The sequence below is a fragment of the Homo sapiens genome, chromosome 16, assembly GCF_000001405.40.
Source record: "Homo sapiens chromosome 16, GRCh38.p14 Primary Assembly".
In the NCBI taxonomy this organism is placed as follows: domain Eukaryota; kingdom Metazoa; phylum Chordata; class Mammalia; order Primates; family Hominidae; genus Homo; species Homo sapiens.
Window position 1 is genome coordinate 60881338 of NC_000016.10, and position 21590 is coordinate 60902927.

General features: G+C 31.8%; 1 annotated feature.

Annotated features, from left to right (window-relative positions):
- Positions 19187 to 19768: an enhancer, noted in NCBI's record as "OCT4-NANOG hESC enhancer chr16:60934428-60935009 (GRCh37/hg19 assembly coordinates)". NCBI's record gives its function as "activates a minimal SCP1, AML or CMV promoter by ChIP-STARR-seq in naive H9 embryonic stem cells {active_cell/tissue: H9 hESC(naive)}" and the evidence as "EXISTENCE:reporter gene assay evidence [ECO:0000049][PMID:30033119]".

Genomic DNA, 21590 nt, shown 5'->3' on the forward strand with positions numbered 1-21590 from the left:
CATTTCATTTCTTTAGAGTTTCCACAGTCACTCACGCTCAAATAATCTTTGCTTTTCATTAATTTTAGAGAGTACAGGGCTTTTGCTAGTGTTGAGTTAGGTGACTGGGAATGATAAATGGGATAAACTGCATGGTGAATAGAATGAATTCTGCAGAAGCAGAGACTTAGAGCAGTTAGTGTTATTAATCAACAAGTCCCCAGGATTAACAAAAAATTTGGAAGTTTGGAATTCTCACAGAACATTAAGAAGTTTGGGCCAGTATGATTCCCATGTACAAGCACAAGGCAAATCCAGTTATGGTCTGCACATAAAAAGGCATGCTGACAATGACAGTTCACAATACTGTTAAAAGGATAGAATGAGTTGGTTTACTATAGCATAATAAGTATAATAGGATGAAATGATGTTCTATTCATATCATAATTATTTAAATAAAATCATCACAATTGGGCCTTTTATTCCTTAAGCTGTTGAAAACAGGCAAGATATTTTCATTTCCATTGAAAAATTAAAGTATGAAATAAATTCAAGTAGGAAATATTTAATTCATCAAAAATAGCCATTTAAACGCTATACTAGAACTAAGATGAACTCCTCAGGGATCTCTGACAGCACTTAGAGTAAATTTAATTCCCCAGAGTCCAAGCTAGGGTAGGTGAAAAATGTACACGGAGCAAGGGGTGTCTATGCCATTCAAATGAGTATGCAGTTCTTAGAGGACATGGAAAGTCAACACTCCAAGGTTACAGGCTGGACAGAAAGATGGGACTATGGACATAAAATAAGTGTATGTGTCTGCAAAAGATAATATAATAAATAGATAATGTAGCAGCTTGCACACATATCAAGTCAGGAGGTTTTGAACACAATTGATAAGTAATATAAGATTATGAGAAGCTAGTGTCTTTGCAGCATGGAATTCACCATCTTTACTATGCCAGGTCAGGAAAGACAAAGGATTCTCAAAGAGAGAATGAATCGTGTGTCTCCCTGAATACTGAATATGTTACTGATGAACACAGAGAATTGAAAAGAACTAATATAATCAAGTTAAAAAATAGAGTAGTAAGTTTTGGATTAGTAGCCAAAACCAATTTCTAGTAACATATTGGTGTCCTTCAAAATATTGGAGGATATATGTACATGAATAATTAATGTAAAAACATCAATTACTATTCATCGAGAAGTGAACATTTTGTTGTATATTTTTGGAATTAATAACTTAGGTTTTTTACATTAATTCCATAACATGGCAGAAAGCTTATGGTTTCTGATACAATTATAAGTGAACTTCAGCTTAAAAGATAAATTTGCAGTTAGGTTTGTGCATTCAGACATCCAAAAATATCTAAAGGAATCAACAGAACTTCCTTTTGTTCTTTGCAGTATCTTTAAAATATTTCACTTTGATTTGATATTATCTGACATTGGTGCTATTTGAATCATTGAAATAAGAGCTCCATGTCTAGTGATATAAGTTTCTGAGATATTCAGAAAGTCAGACAACACTATATTAATTAAATCACGAATTTTTTATGTAGCTTTTGTCTCTTCCTCATTGCATTAACCAGAAGACTTTATTCCCTCTAGGACTGTAAATCAGCGAATCTTGGGCTAGCCATAGAAGCATTAAGAATGTCTTAGCTGTCCTGGGCAGTAACTCAGTTCTGTGAAATTACATCCACTGGGATCTATGGGGTGCTTGAGACAGTTTTATTTCTCAAATTTATTACATTCTTTCACAACTTCTCTTAAAGATTTCATAAACTCACAATGAAGAGTGGTCACTTAGATTCAGGCTCCAAACATAGCAGTGGTAATCAGGCTTGCCTTTTCCTGTGTCTTACATGAATAGCAAGAGCATTAACTAGTAATAAAGGTACCTGTTGATCAGGGGGAGAGAAGGCCCAGGCAGTTATCTTCTGCCTTAACGTCCTGCCTGGGAGATTTCTCTGGGTCATTTAGCAAGCCAACGCTCTGTCACAACTGAGCTTAAATTTTATAGAAGGACAATTTTTGGATTTCAAAAAGAACTCACAGGACATTTTCAAACTCTTTACTGTTTGACCTATTTGCATATTTCTAAAGAAAATTTTACATTGTTTTATTACAGAAGCAGATGTGATTTTATATTAGTAAACAGTGACTCAAATTTTTATTGTTTTATGGTTTTATTGATTTGTTTGCTTTATGTCTTGGGGAGCAAGATGTCTTTTTTGCTTGCCTTATTAAATGTATTTGATTTAATAACCTAGAATGAGCTGGAGTTAAAAGTAAAAATTATATACATATATATAAACATACACACATGCAGATACATGCACATACATGCATATAACTTATGTGTGCATCTGTTTGTGTGTATGATTCAGTATTTAGCAAATTACTGGATTTTGATCTAACAGTAAATAATAATTTTAAAAAACTTGATGCAGTTGCAAACTAAAATATTCCATTTGAGTTTACTAGATAATAATGTATTAATATTTAAAATAACATACCTCCTAACCATCTGTCTGATATATTTCAAAAGTGCATTTATATGCCTTTGTGGAACTATAAAGCAACTTTTGTAAAATGTTCGTACTAAAAAATCTTGTGAGGAATATACGGTCATCAATCCATAATGGTTTACTGAGCTACCCAAAGCAACACACAATATTTTAAATTTTCATAGGAAACACAGCAAAACTTGAGATATTTTGAATATTTCATACACAACTAGTTTGATATTCTTCTCTGCTTCAATATTAAATTAGGTTACATTCCTTTGATACCAACGTGTCTTTAATAATTCAGAATTTCTGTTGTCGCCATGATTAACCACACCAACAACAAAAGTAAAATGTCAAAAATCTGTGTGGAACAACAAATGTGATTAGTGATATCTAATCTGGTTTCAAGATTTGAAAAATTATGTGGGACTATCATATACATATGGTATACATATATGATATATATGATATATATGGTATACGTATATCATATATATGATATATATGATATATATGATATATATCATATATATCATATATATCATATATATGATATATATGATATATATGATATATATCATATATATGATATATATGATATATATGGTATACGTATATGATATATATGATATATATGATATATATGGTATACGTATATGATATATATGATATATATGGTATACGTATATCATATATATGATATATATGGTATACGTATATCATATATATGATATATATGATATATATGGTATACGTATATCATATATATGATATATATGATATATATGGTATACGTATACCATATATATGATATATATGATATATATGGTATACGTATACCATATATATCATATATATGATATATATGGTATATGTCATATATATCATATATATGATATATGTCGTATATGTCATATATATGTCATATATATCGTATATATCATATATGTGTGATAAATATCATATATATGACATATATATGATATATGTATCTTAGCTGTCTATTCTACATGATCTATTTGTCTGTTTCATCACCAATACCACACTGTCTTGATTACTGTAGATTTTATATATATATTTTTTTTTTACATAAAATCTGGTTTCAAGATTTGAAACCTTATGTGGGACCTATTTTATATATATATATGCAGTATATATATATACTGTATATATATATACAGTATATATATATACTGCATATATATATGCAGTATATATATACTGTATATATATATATGCAGTATATATATATATACTGTATATATATATGCAGTATATATATATATACTGTATATATATATGCAGTATATATATTCTGTAATTGTGGTCTTTAAGATAGACATAAGGACTTTCTTTCAATTTATGTGAATTATGTTTTTCAAATTACTATTAGGTTTTAGAGTATAAATACTTATAATTTGGCCTTAAATATCTAGTAACATTATAATGTTTATTTTAGGTATTTCCTTTGGCCTGGCATGAGGTGAAAAAATACTAAGACTCTAAGGGTGTTGTGAAATCAGAAATTGTCAGAATCTCTTGTATTAAGGGAGTCTTAGGACTACTTCTCTTTAATTGACTATTAAAAACAACATTTGTTAAGTGAAATATATTAGCTTAAATTTTAAAATATTAGATTAGAGATATTTTTCTAGTTTTACTTTGCTATGAGGTTTTATAATACGTGAGTGTTGACTTTTAAAATTTATTTTTAAAATTTTTGTTTTAGTTTCTTTGTTTCACTTTTTCTCCCTTTTAAATAGACTATTTTTAGGAGCAGCTTTAGATTCACAGAAAAATTGAGCAGAAAGTACAGAGTTCCCATATAACCCCTGCACCATCACATGCATAATTTCTTCTACTATTAACATCTCTCGCCATACTGGTAAGTTTGTTACAATTGACAAAACCACATTGACACATCATTGTTACCCAAAGTGCATAGTTTGCATTGGGTTCACTCTTGGTCTTATGCATTCTGTGGCTTAAACAAACATACAATGAAATGTATACAGCCTTATGGCACTATACAGAATAGTTTCACTGCCCTAAAACTCTTCTATGCTTTGTTTATTCATCCCTCCTTTCCTCCAAACCCTGGTAACCACTGACCCTTTTACTGTCTTCATCATTTTGCCTTTTCCAGAATGCTATATAGTTGGTATCACACAGTGTGTAGTGTTTTCAGATTGGCTTCTTTCACTTGGTAATATGCATATATAAGTTTCCTCCCTGTCTTTTTCTGACTTGATAGCTTATTTCTTTTCAGTGCTGAATAATATTCAATTTTCTGGATGTACCACAGTTTATCCATTCCCACACTAAAGGACACCTTTATTGCTTCTAAGTTTTGGCTCTTACAAATAAACCTCTTATAAACATCCATGTGCCAGTGTTCATGTGGACACAAGTTTTCAACTCATTTGAGTAAATACCAAGAAGCACAATTACTGGATCCTATGGTATGGGTATGCTTACTTTCTTCAGAAACTGCCAAGTCATTTTCCATTGTAAATGAATTACTCTCTTTTATTCCTATCAGCAATAGTGAGAGTTCCTTTTCCTCTCTTATCTTCCTCAGGATTTGGTGTTACTATTTTGGATTTCGACTGTTCTAGTAGGTGGGTAATGGCATCTTGTTGTTTTAACTTACAATTCCCTAATGACAAATAATGTGTATTATCTTTTCAGATGCTTTTTCTGCCATCTATATAACTTCTTTAGTGAGCTAAATATTGAGGTATTTTGTCAATTTTTAAATCTTGTTAATTTTCTTATTGTTGAGTTTTAAGTGTTCTTTGTATATTTCAGCTAACAACCCATTATCAAATATGTATGTTGCAAATATTTTGTTTCGATGTACGACTTAAAAGGGTTTTCAGACCAGAACCTTTTAATTTTAATGGTGTTCAGCTTATCAATTACATTTTTCATGAGTCATGTCTTTGTGTTGAATTTTAAAAGCCATTGCCGAAGCCAAGAACATCTAGAATTTCTCCTTTGTTCTTCTAGAAGTTTTGTAGTTATGAATTTTATATTTAGATCTATGAAACATTTTGAGTTAATTTTTGAGGATTATGTGTATATAAATTTATATTTTTTCATGTGGGTGTTCAGATCCAGCACAATTTATTAAAGAGATGATAGTATTGTATTGCTTTTGTATCTCTCTGTTGTGTTGCATTTTCTCCTTTGTCAAAGATCAGTTAACCATATTTACGTGAATCTGTTTCTTAGTTCTCTATTCTACGTGATCTATTTGTCTGTTTCATCACCAATACCACACTGTCTTGATTACTGTAGTTTTATAGCAAGTTTTGAAATTGGGTAATGTCAGTCTTTTTGCTTTGTTCTCTTTCAATATTGTGTTAGCTGTTCTGGGGTGGTATTTTTTTTCTTCTCCATATAAACTTTAAAATCAGTTTGTTAGTATCCACAAAACAATTTCCTGAAATTCTGAGATTTTAACTAGGATTGCATTGAAAATCTAATTAATAAAAATATGATAATAGAAAATAAAGCAAATTAAAAAACAGTATAACAACTGCTTACATACCATTTACATTGTATTATATATTGTAAGTAACCTAGAGATGATGTAAAGTGTAACAGGAAGATGTGCATAGATTATACACACTATGTCACTTTATATAAGGGACTTGAGCATTCATGGATAATGGTATCAGCTAGGGGTGCTGAAACCATTCCCCCATGGATACCAAAGGATGACTTTGCACAAATACACCCATTTCTCCCCTAGAAAACTGGGCATATTTAGAAGTGAATGCTTTATAATGGAGTTCCACTTACATTTCCTCAATTTACTGTGCTGAGCATTAAGCTTAGAATTTAGATATTTATGCACTTGTACTTCAGTAAAAATTACATCTTACAAACTCAATTCATCTTAATGTGAACTGTCACCAAATCTCAGTCTCCAGCTTAGCAGATATGTCAGCCAGTCCTTAATGAGATTACATGAATATTGGCTGATTTTTATAGATGAACTTAGCCTTCCGTTGCTAAAAGGCTAAAAATTCCAGATGGCTAGAATTTCAAAGGTTTAGAATTTTGGGCTTGGAGTTAGAACATCGTGTGTTGGCAACCTAGTAGTATTGCATGTGTTATTGTTCAATTATAAAACAAAACAAAAATTATAACTTTTTTTTGCTCCAGTTAATTGTCTAAAAAATTTAAAATATAGATAATACCAATGCTATTAGTTGACAACAGAAAACAAAACACATTACTCATTTTGAAGAAAGAGAAGCCAGATTCATCTTGTTCCTTCTATTCCCTCTTTTTATTGTAACTGAAGTCTAATTGAAAAAAAAAAACTGTTGTGTACAGTGATAAGCTGCTCAGTTGAAAGCTTTAACCTATGTGCTATGTATACCTTTGATAATCTGCTCCATCAAGATTTTATTGTATTTTTTAGTAACCTCTGCATATCATTTTGGGGGAGGTCCTAGGAATATTCATTGCTCTCCTCACTTTATCGATTGTCCAGTGGTAATTTGAAATGTACAGTATGAGAGATTTTGGCTGTATAAAATGGAATTAAGTTATTTACAAACGTGGTTTTACTAGCTTATAAACAAAACAAAATCACTAATATTGGAGGGATAATAAAATGTCACGCTCACTTATAGCGACATTAGATCCTGGGTTCTCTTTGTACTTTGTCTCTGGCTGTCACTGTTGAAAGCAGGTGTCCCAGTGTCTATTTGTTTGGACCTAAAGAACTCAGGGCCCCTAATCTAATGCCAATGTTGATAGCTCCTCTACTAGTTTCTGGCTATTGGTGCAATTTCTGTAATTGCAATAAAACTTGTATTGAATTATTGAGGAAGATCAACAATCTATTCCACTAACCACAACCCATAAAGTTTTCCTTGCTTTGTCATAAATTATAAGAATACCTTTTATTCAAATGTAGAATAACCTAGATCCCAGAACATTTTTAAATTGCTAAACATGACATGTATACAGAATGATAGATTGCTGTAAAAGGTGACAGTAATTGTATACATACTGTTAAATGTTTCTCAATGAAAAGTGAATCTTAACAGTATTGTATGGAAATGCCAATGTCTTAAACATTTGTATACTACTTAATGAAAATTACCCTTCCAGGAGCTTATGGTTGGGCAATGAACATAAATGTTTTCTATTTTACTATATTCACTGCTGTGTTGTATGTAGAGGTAACAGAAATTGAAATTAGCCTAACTATGGCATTATGTACATAAATTCTGAGAAATCCATAAAATCTAATATTATGCAAAATAATCTAATCAAAGTATTTCAAAAATATTTCCTCCACTCAATTCTGTGTTCATTGATCTAATACCTGACACATAAAAAGCACTCAATAAATAATATTTGAATTAATATAAAGGAAAAAAAAATTTTTTGAGATGGAGTCTTGCTTTGTTGCCCAGGCTAGAATGCAGTGGCATGATCTCAGTTCACTGCAACCTCAGTCTCCCGGGTTCAAGCCATTTTCCTGCCTCAGCCTCCTGAGTAGCTGGGACTACAGGCATGCACCACCACGCCTGGCTAATTTTTGTATTTTTGGTAGAGATGGGTTTTTACCATGTTAGACACGTTGGTTGGGTTGGTCTCGAACTCCTGACCTCAGGTGATCTGCCCGCCTAGACCTCCCAAAGGGCTGGGATTACAGACATAAGCCATCGTGCTTGGCCAGAAAATTCTTTTCATTTGTGTTTTCCTGGTTACTTTCCTTACACCAAACTCCATGCTATTTTAGTAAACTCAGAATCATTAAGATAGAATCTATATCAGTAAAAAAAAAAAAAAAAAAAAAGAGTAATTTTTGTGTGGCAAATAATTAGAATTCAGAGCTCAGCAGTATGAAGGCATAATTGCTTTATTGCAGATCACTGGCAAACACAGGTCTACAATCCATTTATATTCGTGTGAATTTAGGAAAATAGTATTTCTTTTCATCTCCAAAATTGAAGAGAAAAGAATGCTTTCAACTGTAAGAAAATGATGTACCATCAAAATTAGAGGCTATCCATATGGTAACAACGTTCTAATTCCTCTTGGCACTAAGTTGATAAAAAAATATTCTGTTTCATAGATAATTTGTTTAGTTTTCCTGATCCCCTTGTTTTTCTTTTCCAATTGAGGGGGAGAAGATAATTCCTATTTTGTACATCTTTATTAATCAGGCAAAACTGGGGAACAGATGTGGGATTCTTTAGCTGTTATGGGGATAGACAGAAGGAGAGCTATAATTTTTAGGCTTGTCGCTTTAAATGATGCCCATGGGACATTAGCATCAGATACAGAGCCATTGAGATGAAGAATCCAAATAGCACCAGTATATAATAAAGGAAAAGTAAATAAGTTGTACTTCTTTGCTGATGTGCATTTACTATACAATAATATAAATACACATTGCTGTTGGTTGTTGACTAGAAGCCAATGGAATCATCCTTGCTACAAGATCTTCAGATTTTCTGTTTCAATGGAGATTGCAATAAAGACACACTTTGCTTAAAAAAAAATCATCCTAGTAGATATTTTTGACAAGTAGTATTAGTCAAATATGGAAGTAGAATTTGAAGGGTCAGGATTAAATGGCCTCCAGATACATTTATCTATATTGTACACTGACTCAGTCATTATCAAATTATGCTTTATTTTATAATAGTAGTTTCAAGCCAATTGCCACATAACAACATCAATCTCTTATATTTTAATGTTCAATAATTGAACTATTGGATTCTATAGAAGCATCTTCAAGAATGCTTATTATTTGCAATAAATATATTTAGGCTAATAAAACTGTACTTGTCAGAAATATTTCCATCATGTGTTTTAATGTGTGCAGCATATATTTTACATACTACGGAGAACAGAAATCAAATAATACATTACATATAAGATTTCTACTTTGATAAAATGTGAAAAATTTTTTTAAGCTAACTTGTTAACCTTCTCTTTCTTAAAGGTAAATCCCTATCTCCATTTTAATAAGTATATCCCATCTCAATCCTGTATCAAGATATAATGAACATTCATAAACAAATAGCATTTTAAGTGATACTCTCTTTGAAAGCCTGTGTTAAGAATTATGTGATTTATTTCATATGCCTTCATAATTCAAAGCCAAGAGTGGTCCCAACCTTTTCTACTGCCATTCTTTTTATTATTTTTTATTATATTTCTAAGGTGCTTATTCAGCTGTATTATTATTTACTTTGACTTTTAAATTCAAAACCACCACTAATGGAAATCAGAAATAATCACCAGCATTACATAAAAGTCCCACTACCTAACACAATGCTCATGTCCTGGGATTTAAAGTGAATAAGATAGGTTTTCTGTTCTCCAGGAGTTTTTGACCTAATCATTACACTGGGGGAAAGAGTTACTTTCAGGGGAGTTGTGAAGTAATTTTGACTTTATAATACTTCTGGTAAATACAAACTCACACTCCACAAATTTGAAGATCCAGATTAATGATCTCTTGACATTCTTCCACCTCCCATAAGAAACATTCCCAAGGATTTTGCCTTCTCTCTAGAATAGCAATGGTTTTAACAGATTTAAAATTAGTAAGGAATGTCCTTATTTTTCAAGAGAAGAAGTTAAAATGAAAAGTGATTTTTTAAATTTGGAAGTTGGAGTCTAATAGGCTTTCTGATATCAATAAATCGCACAGCAGCAACAAAAACAGCAACAAATATACTAAAGTTATTTTTATGTGGTGGGTATTTATGTTTCCAAGTAAAAACTTGCCTTAAAACTTTTGGAACAATATGTAACTAGCAAATATAGTTTTTAAAGTTTTCATACGGTATTCCACAAATGTCTTAGTATATGGTAGAGAAATTGAAGAGAAAATTAATTCCACACTTGAAATTTGTGTAGGTTTACTTCGCTCTAAAGCATAGTTCTTCACATATAAACTTTTATAGGAAAACGGAAGTTTTAGAGTACCTTAAAAAGAAGGCAGTGCTTATTTTGAAGAACAGAAACTAAATTCGAGAGTCCCCTATGAATGATAATCAAAGAGAAAAATACCACAATCCTGACGCCACGATAGAAAAAGAAAAGAAGGGCAGATGCTCAAAATTATTGATCATGGTTTTCATCCAGCAATTTTTTCACAGGAACAACTCTACATACATGAATCCAACCCAGAAGCAGCAGAACTTTATTTAATTATGCTTAATGTGTGCATATAGTAATGGTAATAAGAGCTAACACTCGAGTATTACGATATTGCCCATAGTTGCATGAATTAGCTCATGTAACACTCATAAGAACTATAAACGCTATGATATAGAAAACTATTTTATTCATTTCTATAGGAATATGTATATATGACAATTCATGCAACTGTTCTGATTTCCAAGCTTCTGTTCACATTATTTAAACTTTACACCATCGTTAAGTTTATAAATATTCTATTTACATTCCCTTTCTTGAATTTCCCTCCCATGCCCGGTATATCCACACAATTAGTCAATTATTTCCCAAGTTATTTTCATTCTCTCTCACAATCTGCCTCTCACCTCCCTACATTTTGCTAATTTCTTAACGTCCATCAGGGTTTTTGTTGTTGTTAGTTTAATTTTAAATAGAAACACACATACATTTTATAAGTTTCAAAAGATTCAAGGGTGCATAGTGAAAGTAAGTATCCATTTCACATTTAACTTCTGGTCATGTTCACTCCACTCAGAGACTCCCACAGTTGCAAATTATTTTCCAAAATTTGTGGTGATTAAGTAGAGCAAGAGAAACTATCTGGCTGAGATTTTATAGAAGTAATGCCCAAGACAATATTCGAAGCAAGTCTAAGATCACAGAGAGGAGGTAAAAGCCCCACTAACTGAGCCCAAGTCTCTTTAAATTTCTACACAGTTATTACCAGCTGGCCCTGTCTGATCCTTTTGTCTCTTTTTTCCCGACTAAAACATATATAGTGGGAATCACTGAATTCTTATTGTAGATTGACAATATATAATTGTATAAATTTTATGATATATAATTGTATACATTTATGCAAATGAAGTTATGACTTATGAATACAATGTGAAATAATTAAATCAAGCCAATTAACATTTCCATCATCTCAAATACTTAACATTTTTATAGCAAGTATATTTACCATGCTGTGTAATAGAACTAAAAAAAAAAAAAAGCATATTCCTCCCAATTGAGGTATTGTTCTTTTTGACTATCATCTCCCCATTCCCCCAATCCACTAGGCTCTGTAACCACCATTCTATTATCTGCTTTTATGAGTTAGACAAAGACTTTTTTAGATTTTACCTGTGGGAACATGTGGTATTTTTCTTTGCCTGGCTTATTTTACTTAACATAATATTCTTCAATTCCACCCATGTTATTACAAATTATATAATTTCCTTCTTTCTTAAGGTGGAGGAGTATTCTATTGTGCATGCATACCATTCTTTACTTATCCATTCATCTGTTGATAGAAAATAACCTTGATCCCATAACTGGCCATCGTGAATAGTATGGCAATGAAAATGGGAGGGAAGAAGTCTCTTTGACAAACTGATTTCAGATCTTTCCGGGTAAATATAGAGAAGTGGGATTATTGGAACATATAGCAATTATATTTTTTGATGTCCCTTAATACAATTTTCTACCATGGCCATGCTAATATACACTCCTGCCAATAACATGCAAGGACTCCCTTTTCTCCACATCTTCATCAACACTTGTTATCATTTCTATTTTTTATACTCACCATTCTGACAGGTGTGAGAACATATTTCATTGTGGTTTTAATTTGTATTTCCATAATCATTAGCAATGCTGAACATTTTTTAATATATCTGTTGGCCATTTGTATGATTTTTTTGTTTTTTTGAGATGGAGTCTTACTCTGTTGCCCATGCTAGTGTGCAGTGATGTGATAGCTCACTGCAGCCTCCACCTCCCAGGTTCAAGTGATTCTCCTGCCTCAGCCTCCTGAGTAGCTGGGACTACAGGCACCTGCCACCATGCCAGGCTAATTTTTGTATTTTTAGTAGAGGTGGGGTTTCACCATGTTGGCCAGGCTGGTCTCGAACTCTTCACCCCAAGCGATTTTCCCGCCTCAGCCTCTTAAAGTGCTAGGATTGCAAGTGTAAGCCACCATGCCTGGCCTGATTTCCTTTGAGAGATGTCTATTCAGGTCTATTGTTCATTTTTTAAACAAGTTTTTTTTTCTTGCTATTGAGTTATTTGAGCTCCTTACATATTTTGGATACTAAACTCTTATTGGATGTATGGCATACAAATATTTTTTCCCAATCCGTAGTTTTTTTTTCTTCACACTATTAGCTGCTTATTTTGCTGGACAAAGCCTTTTAGTTTGGTATAATTCCATTGGTCTATTTTTTTATTTTTGTGCCTGCACCTCTAGGGTCAATTTTTTTAAAAAAATCATTGCATAGATTTATATCTTATAGCTTTCGGCCTATGTTTTTCTCTAGCTTTATGATTTCTGGTCTCATGTTTAAGTCTAATCCATTTTGAGTCTATTTTTCTATATGGTGTAAAATAAGGGTCCAAATCCATTCTTCTGCACATAAATATCAGTTTTCCCAACACTGTTTGTTGAAGAGATCATCTTTTTCCCATTGCATATTCTTGGGACCTTGATCAAAAATTAACTGATGATACATGAATGGATTCCTTTCTGGGCTCTCTACTCTGTTACACTGGTCCATGTATCTGATTATATGCCAGTGTATGCTATTTTGATTACCAAATATTTGTAATCTAGTTAGTCAGGACGTGTGATGCCTCCGGTTTGTTCTTTTGGCTCAAGATTCCTTTGGCTATTGTGTGTATGTGTGTGGGGGGGTTCCCCTATGAATTTTAGGATTGTGTGTTCTATTTCTATGAAAAAAAGCCATTGGAATTTTGATAGGGATTACATAGAATCTATAGATTACTTTGGGTAGCATGGACATTTTAGTAATTTTAATTAGATTCATAAGCTACTGAAAACCCCCATTAAATGAAGAAAAATCTCAATTAAAATTGTATTCAAAATGCACATAATTATTTTAAAATAAAATGTTTGTTACATTAATTATTCAAGATCTAGTCTCCTGGGATCAAGTTCCTAGTATAAATAGTACTCTACTTAAAATTTAAAAGCATGCAAACACATTCTGCACCTTCTCCTTCTCCGTTTTAGAAAATTATAATGTGCTTTAAAACTTTCCAAACACATTTTTTACCAATGTGTTAAAAGTATTTATGCTCATTTTATACAATATATCTAGCTACATTATTGGAAAAGATTATTATTAAAGTTTTTATTATTAAAATTATTACTAAAGATTTGCATATTTTTTCTGGAATATTTGTATGAATTTTTCTGTAAAAGCATCAGACTCTTCTGGAGTTAAGCAAAATAGAGTACTCTCACTGGATCCTATTCCTCTTACTAATTAAAAATAAAAATTAAATATCTGGACAACACACAAGCCAACCAGTTGAAAATCCTGAAGGAGGTAGATTTGGAAAGGAAGTAAAAATTTCCAGAAGTAGCACAAACAGAGAGATTGTTCATTTATTTATTTATTTATTTATTTATTTATTTATTTATTATTTCTCACAAAACTCTGACCGGAAGTTGGGAAAGGAATCATGCTGTTAGAATATGTGGGCATCAACATTTCAGGGATAAATCTCCATCTTTCTGGCCAGAGGCCCAGGAAAATGGGCCTGTGAAAGATACAGAGCTTGAAGAAAATCTCCATTATTCTTTGTATCTTTTTATCCCTCTATTCTCTGTCCTGGCTGTGCCCTAAAGATGGACTCTCAGCCCTAGAGCTGTGGCAGAGGCAGCAGGCAACTGAAACTCAAAGAGAAACTCAATCTTTCTGGCCAGAAGAACTAGCAAAAAGGCCCTGTGGCCTGAAGAATGCCGAAGGAATCTGCATTACTTTTTCCCTCCTTTGTCTCATAGAATTGACACAAGTGTGGGCCCTATTTGTCAAATAACAAATGTAGCAGCAATACCTTGTATGGGATATCCTAGCCAATGCAGTAAAGTAATGAAAGATTGGAAAGTAAAAGTTTACTTAACTTTGTCTACTCATAATGATATGATATGACTTGATATGATTTTTCCATTAAAAATTTGATGTTTTTTTCACAAAAAGTCTTACAAATAGTGAGATTACCAAGGTTGTATGATACAGTGTCAATATACACAAATAAATTTCATTTATGTATACTAGCAAAGAACATTTGAAGATAGCATTTACAGCAGGATCAAAGAAACATGATATACTTATGCATAAATCTAAAAAAAGTGCATAATGTATGCTAAAAATTATAAAACAATGATGAAAATGCAATTAAAGAATGTATAAATAAGGAGATAATTAAACCATGTTCATGAATTAGAAGACCTAATAATGGGATGTCAAATATCTTCAATTGATATATACAGGCAATATAATATGTGTTCACCTTTATGTATAATAAAAATATCAACAGAATTCTTATGAACATTAGCAAGCTGATTCAAAATATTTATGGAAATTCAAAAAACACAGAAGAGTTAAAATCATTTTGAAAAAAGAATAATATTAGAGGACTCATACTATCTGATTTAAATACTTACTATCGCAAGAACAAAAAACCAAACACCGCATATTCTCACTCATAGGTGGGAATTGAACAATGAGATCACATGGACACAGGAAGGGGAATATCACACTCTGGGGACCGTGGTGGGGTTGGGGGAGGGGGGAGGGATAGCATTGGGAGATATACCTAATGCTAGATGACACGTTAGTGGGTGCAGCACACCAGCATGGCACATGTATACATATGTAACTAACCTGCACAATGTGCACATGTACCCTAAAACTTAAAGTATAATTAAAAAAAAAGTAAATAAATCTAAAAAAAAAATAAATAAATAAATAAAAAATAAATAAATACTTACTATAAAACTAAAACCACTAATCATGGCAAAAGTCTGGACATACAGATCAATGAAACAGGATACAGAATTAAAATGCTGACTTATAAGTATGGTCAGTTTGTATTTCATAAAAGTGCAAGAGAAACTCAATGGAGAAAATATTGTCTTGTAAACAAATAGTTCTGGATAAACTGGTTGTTCACACACAATGTTTTAAAAGTACTGTCATATTCCTTGCATGCAAATATTTAAAAATTAACTCATAATGCATTAGTGACAAACATGAAACCTAAAATTATAAACATACTAGAAGACAATCATCATACAATTAAATTAGTCAAAATATTCTTAGATATAACATCAAAAGTAGAATTCATACCATAAAAATTCAGGTTAACTGTACTTCATCATAATTAAGCCCTTTGAAAGATTTCATTAAGAAATAAAAAGACAAGCTAAAACTTGGAGAAAATAGTTGGAAATAAATATGTAAAGTACTTGTTTTCTGTAGATATATAAAATAATCTTTTTAAAATTAATTTTTACTCTTCTGATTTTTTTTCGCATTTCCATAAATATTTTGAATCAGCTTCTTAATGTTCACAAAAATTCTGCTGATATATTTATTGGGATAATTTTATTAAACATAAAGGTAAGCCAATATTGCACTGACTCAATACATCAATTGAAGATATTTAACATCATCCCATCATTTGGTGCTTCAATTCATGAACATGGTTTAATTCTCTATTTATATATTATTTGATTGCATTTTCATCGTTGTTTTGTAATTTTTAGCATACATTATGCACATATTTTGTTAGGATCATATATAGGAATATCATGTTTCTTTGGTTCTGTTGTAAATAGGATGTAGATATGTTTCTTTGGTCATATATGTATATATGTGTGTATATATATGTGTGTATATATATATAATTTTAAAACTCAATATATAAACAAATAACAACTATGTTTTTAGTAGGCAAAAGATTTGAACATACATTTTACCAAAGAAGGTATACAGATGGCAACAAAGCACATGCAGAGATACTCAACATTATTAGCCATTAGGGAAATGCAAAACGAAACCTCAGTGAGATACCAATATCATTCCATTTACATAAATAAAAGTAAATAAGACAAAATAAATTTATACTGACATAACAACCTAAGTGCCTCTGAAAATTTGGAGCAAATGTGGCTCTTCTGTGTTTCTGGTTGGAATAAAAAATGATACAGCTGCTTTGGACAGAAGCATACAGCATCTTTTAAAGGTAAACATTAAATTAAACACATGATCTAGCAATACTACTCCTAATTTTTTATCCAACAGAAATGAAGACAGAAAAATCTGAACACAAATGTTTATAGCTCCTTTATAATACCAAAAACTTTAAAAATCTAAACATCCTTCTACTTTTAAATAGGCAAACTATGGTATAGTCATAAAAAGGAATACTACTCAACAGTGAAGAGGGATAAAATATTGCTCAGAACAAGGTGGATGAATCTCAGATGCTTTATGCTAAGTAAAAGTGGCCAATCTTATGAGTACACACTGTGTAATTCTATATGTATAAAACATACTGGAAAAGGCAAAATTATAGGAGGAGGAAACAGACCAGTTGTTGTCAGAGGTTTGAGGTAGAAGGTGGATTGATCACAAAGGTGCAGCACAGGGAATTTTTTGAGTGCTAGAACCATTCTCTTTCTTGATAGTGGCGGTGAAAACTGTATGTAATTGTCAAAACTCAAATAACTGTGCACTAAAAAGACAAAACTTTACTATATAAACCTAAGCCTATTCTTTCTTTAATTTAATAATTTAAAACAGAGTCCATTTCTTTTTCCCAGAGATCCTATTTGCTTTCAAGTCAGTTTTAAAAAATATTTTTCTAAGAATGTATATATTTTTATACTTTTATACTTTTAATTTTGTTTCATCTGATGTCTTTTTCATCTTCTGTCCTTAATATTATTTAAAATGTGCCTCACACATTAAGCATTTTTTCATTGTTTTAGGCTTTGCAATGTATTATAATAATGGATTTAGAAATTTTAACCATTCTTGTAATTCTAGTATAAAATCTAAAAACATTATTAGTTTATGGAAGTTTTACATGAGTATACTCTTGGATTTACTTTGTTAATATTACTTGCATAGACCAAATTCATGAGGATTTATACTTATTTTTTCTTCTAAGGGTTTTATAATTTTAGCTCTTCCACTTAGATCTTTAATCAATTTGAGTGAGTATATATATATACATATATATATATACATATATACATATACATATATATATACATATATACATATATATACACACATATATATGAGTTAATTGTTCAATTTTATTCTTTTGCATATAGCTATCCAGTTATCCCAGCATAATTTGTTGAAACAACTGCTCATTTCTCATTGGATGACCTTGGCATCTTTATTAATACTTTCCATTCTTTCACTCGTGACTTTTTAAGTCTTCTCTCTTTTTTGTTTTCTTTTTTTCTTTTTTTTTTTTTTTTTTTTTGGTCAGCCTTGCTAATGATTTGCCTTTTTTTGTTGCTGTTCTAAACAGAAACCAACACTGGATTTGCTGAATTTTTGTATTGTTTTAGTATCCTATACTTATTTTTGAACTAATATGCATTACTTTTTTCTACTGCTTGCTTTGGGTTTACTTTGCTATTTTTCATATAATATTTTAAGATAGAAGATTAGATTATTAACTTGAAATCCTTTTTTTTTAGTATAGGCATTTACAACTACAAATTTCCATATACACACTGCTTTAGCTACATTACGTATATTTTGATATGTTTTCTCTACATTTGCATTCATCTGAAAGTACTTTTCTTTCTGTTTATCAAACTGGATAATCTCAATTGATCTATCCTAAATTTATTTATTGATTCGTTCTTCTATGTGCTCAAATGTGTTATTGAGCCTCTCTAGTGATTTTTACATCATGATTATGATACACTTTAACTTCAGAACTTCTCTTTGGTTCTTTTTTGTATAATTTCAGTCTCTATGTTGATATTCTGTATTTGGTGAGACATAATTCTCATACTTTCTTTTAATCATATTTGAAATAACTTATTTAAAATCTTTGTCTAGTACATTGTTCATCTAGGCTTTTTTAGGGACTATTTGTAGTGACTGCTTTATTCTCTCTGTACACACTTTTTTATTGGTTTTTGTTTTTGTTTTGTTCTGCTTTGCTTGTGTTTTGGTTTTTGTATTAATTTTTTGTTAAAAACTGGAAGCATACAATTAAAAGATATAAATTCTTGAAATTAAACTATCTGACTTTCCCATAGTTTGCTGTTGTTGTTTTTGCTTATTCACTGTCTAATATTAACTAATTCTACAAAGTCTATTCTTTGTTTTGTGTGGCCACTGAAGTCTGCTCAGTTAGATTAGAGGTCAGATAGTGATTGGACAAAGTTTTTCTTCAAAGTCTGGAAACAGTATGTCTCCCAGTCTTTGCTAAGAGACTCTGCTGCATGAATGTTGAGGCACACCTTTAACACTAAGCTAGACAATTAACAACTTCATCTTAGCCTTCACTTAATTCTTGTGCAGAGCCTCAGATCAACCAGAAGTGGGAGCTTAGACCATCCACATGTCTTTCGTGAATATAAGCATAACCCTGGGCATACAAACAGCCTTATGCATGCATATGACCTTCAAGACTACCAGCAATATGTTAGTGCTGTTCAAAGCCTTCCATAGTCATTTGTTCCCCAGAATTTCTTTCTAAGCATTTTTTAGTCTATTGTTTTCCCTAATTGTTATCTACCACTTCAGGAAGCTAGAGTGTGCAACAATTGCCTCAGACTATGATTTTTCACATTTTTCACAAATGTTCCTGGGAAAAATCTGCTGGCATTGGGAACTCTCTTTGATTCCTTGCAAGTGAGATCTTTCAGGGAACCAGAAATGTTAGATAAGGACAATTCTTTGTGATGTAGTGTTGAAGGCATTCTAATTTTCTTTTGTCCCTTCACGTGGCTGCACAGTTTGTGGTCATCACCATGGTTGTTGGCTTTTGTTTTTCGTGGCTATTTCAGACCTTGGAGAAAAACACAGGAATATAATTAGTTAAATGGCTACAAAGCTCACTGTTATTGAGATGTAGTGGGTTTTTTATGTGTATTTTTAATTAATGCTCCATGGATTGCCACAAGTCTTTAGTTAACTAACTGAATTCTGAAAAAGTTGATTCTGCTTTTTTTTTGCCCTTGTTTCTATTGCATTAGTGGAGGGGAAGATTTTTGTGGATCTGTACTTTACCATTTTTATTGATGTCACTACCCCTTTATCTTTACTATAGTTATCAGTTTATTTTTCTGTATCTCCTTTTTATTACCTATATAATGGAAATACCAAGAGTTAAATCCTAGGTGGTTATGAGGCTGAATTGAGAACATATGTAGAATTATTTTTTTTAACCTCTAATAGACAATGAAACAGAACTCTCTTCACTTCCTATTTTGAGGTTTTATTTTTTAATATTATTTTTTAGTGACAGTATAGACATCAGAAGATAAGTGCATGATTGCTTTCTTATTAAGTAACTGATAAAGAAACCTGAATTAAATTGTGAATGGTACATGTGCTAATATATTCTGCCATTTTCCTCCAAACCCAGATATAAAAGTCCACATAGATGTTTCTGGAAGAATTATTCTGAGACTATTTTAGACTCTAGATGATCCTCATCTTTTATTTCTAGGTATCTTTTGTACAACCAGTCATACATGGTTTGTGGTCCTAATAGCCATAATATAACCTGCTTGATTATGATGCATGCAAGCATCTCAATAGTTGCATATAAATAATTTATGAAAAAACAGAGCCTCCCTCCAACGGAAATTTTTAATTTCCCTTTCAGCCTCTTACACGTCACTGCCCACAGATAATTTTTGTTCTTCCCAGAAACCATATGCATGTTCATCATGTAGCCATGTCCCTGGGTAAATATCAAATATTCAGTATGATGGACAAAGGTTTATAAACATATTGATTGTGTCTTCTGTCTCAATCTATAGCGTATTTAACAGTATATACAGACTTTCAGAACTTTTTTTTGAAGACACATCTCCCAAAGAAAATAATTCCCTGCAGAAAACTGAGGTTTGCTCCCTACACCCCCTCGAAAAGAGAAATAAATTATTGCCAAGGACAAGTTACTTTGGGCTCTTTATTTTTTATTTTCTAGTACTCCTAAGTAGAAACAAGTTTTAAAGCCGATATTTACAGCTTTAACTCTGGGGCATACTAACATGTCATTCACTTCTCATTTATTCTTTAAACAATTTCCTCTAATATTTGATTTTAATTTGAAAGGAGAATTGATGCTTTATGACAATGGTACTTAAGTGTGTATGTGTGTGATTGTTTCTGTGTGTTCTATTTATATTTCCCTACGTAATGATTTTCTTAAACAAAACTACACTCCATTTACCACAGTAAACAAGCCAAATAAGACAGTCTCCTTAAAATATAGGGGACCATATTGTTACGCAATTTGGCTATTATAAAAGGAAAGAAACCAGCCAGGCATGGTGGCTCACACCTATAATCCCAACCCTTTGGGAGACTGAGGTGGGCAGATTACCTGAGGACAGAAGTTCAAGACCAACCTGGTCAACGTGGTGAAACCCGTCTCTAGTAAAAATACAAAAATTAGCCAGGTATGGTGGTGGGTGCCTGTATTCCCAGCTACTTGGGAGGCTGAGGCAGGAGAATTGCCTGAAGCCAGGACGCAGAGGTTGTAGTGAGCCGAGATCGCGCCACTGCATTCCAGCCTGGGCAACAAAGTGAGTCTCCATCAAAAAAAAAGGAAGAAACCATCATTTAATATTTGAAACAAAACGTTGAATTAATTTTGTTTCCAGTGCAAGGGAACAGTGAATTTTACGGAATGATTTCTTTGAAAAAGCAAATCGATCATCTCATACCAGATTATGAGAGTCAGCAGTGCAGAGATTAGAGGACGTCAGATGTGATCGTGTTTCGATATTAACTGATGTTTACCAGTGGAGATGGTGACTATATTGTGACTATTACTATATGGCTGGTTTTCAATAAAGTGGGTCTGTGTCTAATTGACTAGCTTTCAGATTAT